Here is a 1,828-nt window from a genome sequence, read left to right on the forward strand (position 1 = left end):
TTGGGCTCAAAGTTTTAATAATGTATTCTCTTCCTTCTTTGTATTTATAGTTAGTTATTATGGGAATACAACATATCTTCTCTAAATTTGGAATTCATAAAGGATAACTTCCTTTAGCTCAATTACTTGTATTGCTTTTCCCTAGTAGCTGAAAAGTATTTAAGTTTGGTTTGGTCATGATTTTCATGTGTTTGAGGTTTTTGTTGTTGTTGTTTGGCTTTTTGGTTTTTGATTATTTAAAAATAAAGACATTAGCAATTATAGTTAGTATGATTAGGAAGAAATAGATTTTTCTTGTGGAAAGAATAGATAACAATTCTGGAATTTATTTTATCTCTATTGATGTGTAAACTAAATTCCTGTATTAACTTGGGTATATTTTGGTCCCAAAAGTAGTCACTGAGTTAAATGCATATGACAAACAATTCATGGTAGCATACTGTCTCTTTTAGCTACTAAATTTATGGTTTCTATTTTTTGTTTTCTTGATTTCAATAAAGAATTGTCAGTTTTAGATGCTTATTAGAAATAATAAGAAATACTGGTAGGCATAGATAGAATTAGTGAAGTTTTAACCATTAGCAAAATCGTGCATTTCATGTACTGAGATAACAAGTAATCAAAGACATGGGAAACTTACCTTGTGTTTTTTTTTGTTTTGTTTTGTTTTTTATGTAGTAATTTCATGGTTTCTAGCCATTTCCTCTTCTTAAGCTTTACCTAGGGATATTCTCTACTTGGCTCTTCTTTTAGTATAGCATGTTTAATTGAGTTGACATTTTAGAACTGAAAATTTGAAATTCTGCATCCGAATTTCTCAGTTTTGACATGCACTTGCCTCTGGGTGATTATTTCTAGGTTGTTTCTACATGAAGATTGGTGATTGGGCAGAAGGTACCTACAGAAACCAGCATCTGGATCGAGCTTCCAACACCACTCTACAAGCTACCACCATGGCGTAAACCTAACCATAGTCAGTGTTCCAAAAAGCCTGAATTTTGTTGAGAATGGTATGTTTACTAAAGGATGGTTTGAGCCAGACAGAGCTAACATACTCATCTTGTTTGATCCTATGAAGTTCAGATTTGGAATAACCAACGATGGTTTTCATACTCCTTAAACCCCTTGCTCAAAGGAAATCTTCAGGCATGTAAGCAAACATGACAGGGTTCCGAATGGATCCCTGCTGGGAGGTTGGGAGTGGGCTAGAGCCTACAGATTGTTCCAGGGAAGGAGCTAATACCCTCTCAGGTGAACTGGAGGGCTGAAGAAGATAGTGGGTTCATGAAGAGCATATTTAGTAGCTAATAACTTAAACTTGTTTTTGTCATTTGCATAGTTTTTTTTTTAAATTTGAACTGCTCTGTCCTAATACAATACGAAGAGATTTATTTTTTTCTTTGTGTAATTCCTTTCACTTTTCTTTAACCAAAACTATCCCAAGCTTACAGCAACAGCTAGGTACTCTTTTTATACTCAACTGTTTTTTGTTTTTTTTACATTGCCTTCTGCTTTTTATCTTCCATCCCTCTTGGTCATGACCATTGGGCATACTCAATAACCAGAGTAGGTTTTGAGAGCTAGTAAAATGCTTTTTCACCAGACACCTTCGATCTTCTATAGCTTGAAAGAAACACTCTATTCTAGGGACCTCCTTGACCATCTTTTACCTTCAACAACAGATTTGTTTCTATCCTTTCATACCTCCTGCTGACACTGCTAGTTCACCAGTGGAAACTTTTGCAGAGAAGCTCACTGAAAGTCTGCGGCCAGTCCAAGATAATCCCAGCCTTCCCTTTCAGGGGACTTCTTTTCAGGGGATCTTTCT

Source organism: Homo sapiens, chromosome 8 (genome assembly GCF_000001405.40).
Source record: "Homo sapiens chromosome 8, GRCh38.p14 Primary Assembly".
Classification (NCBI taxonomy): Eukaryota; Metazoa; Chordata; class Mammalia; order Primates; family Hominidae; genus Homo; species Homo sapiens.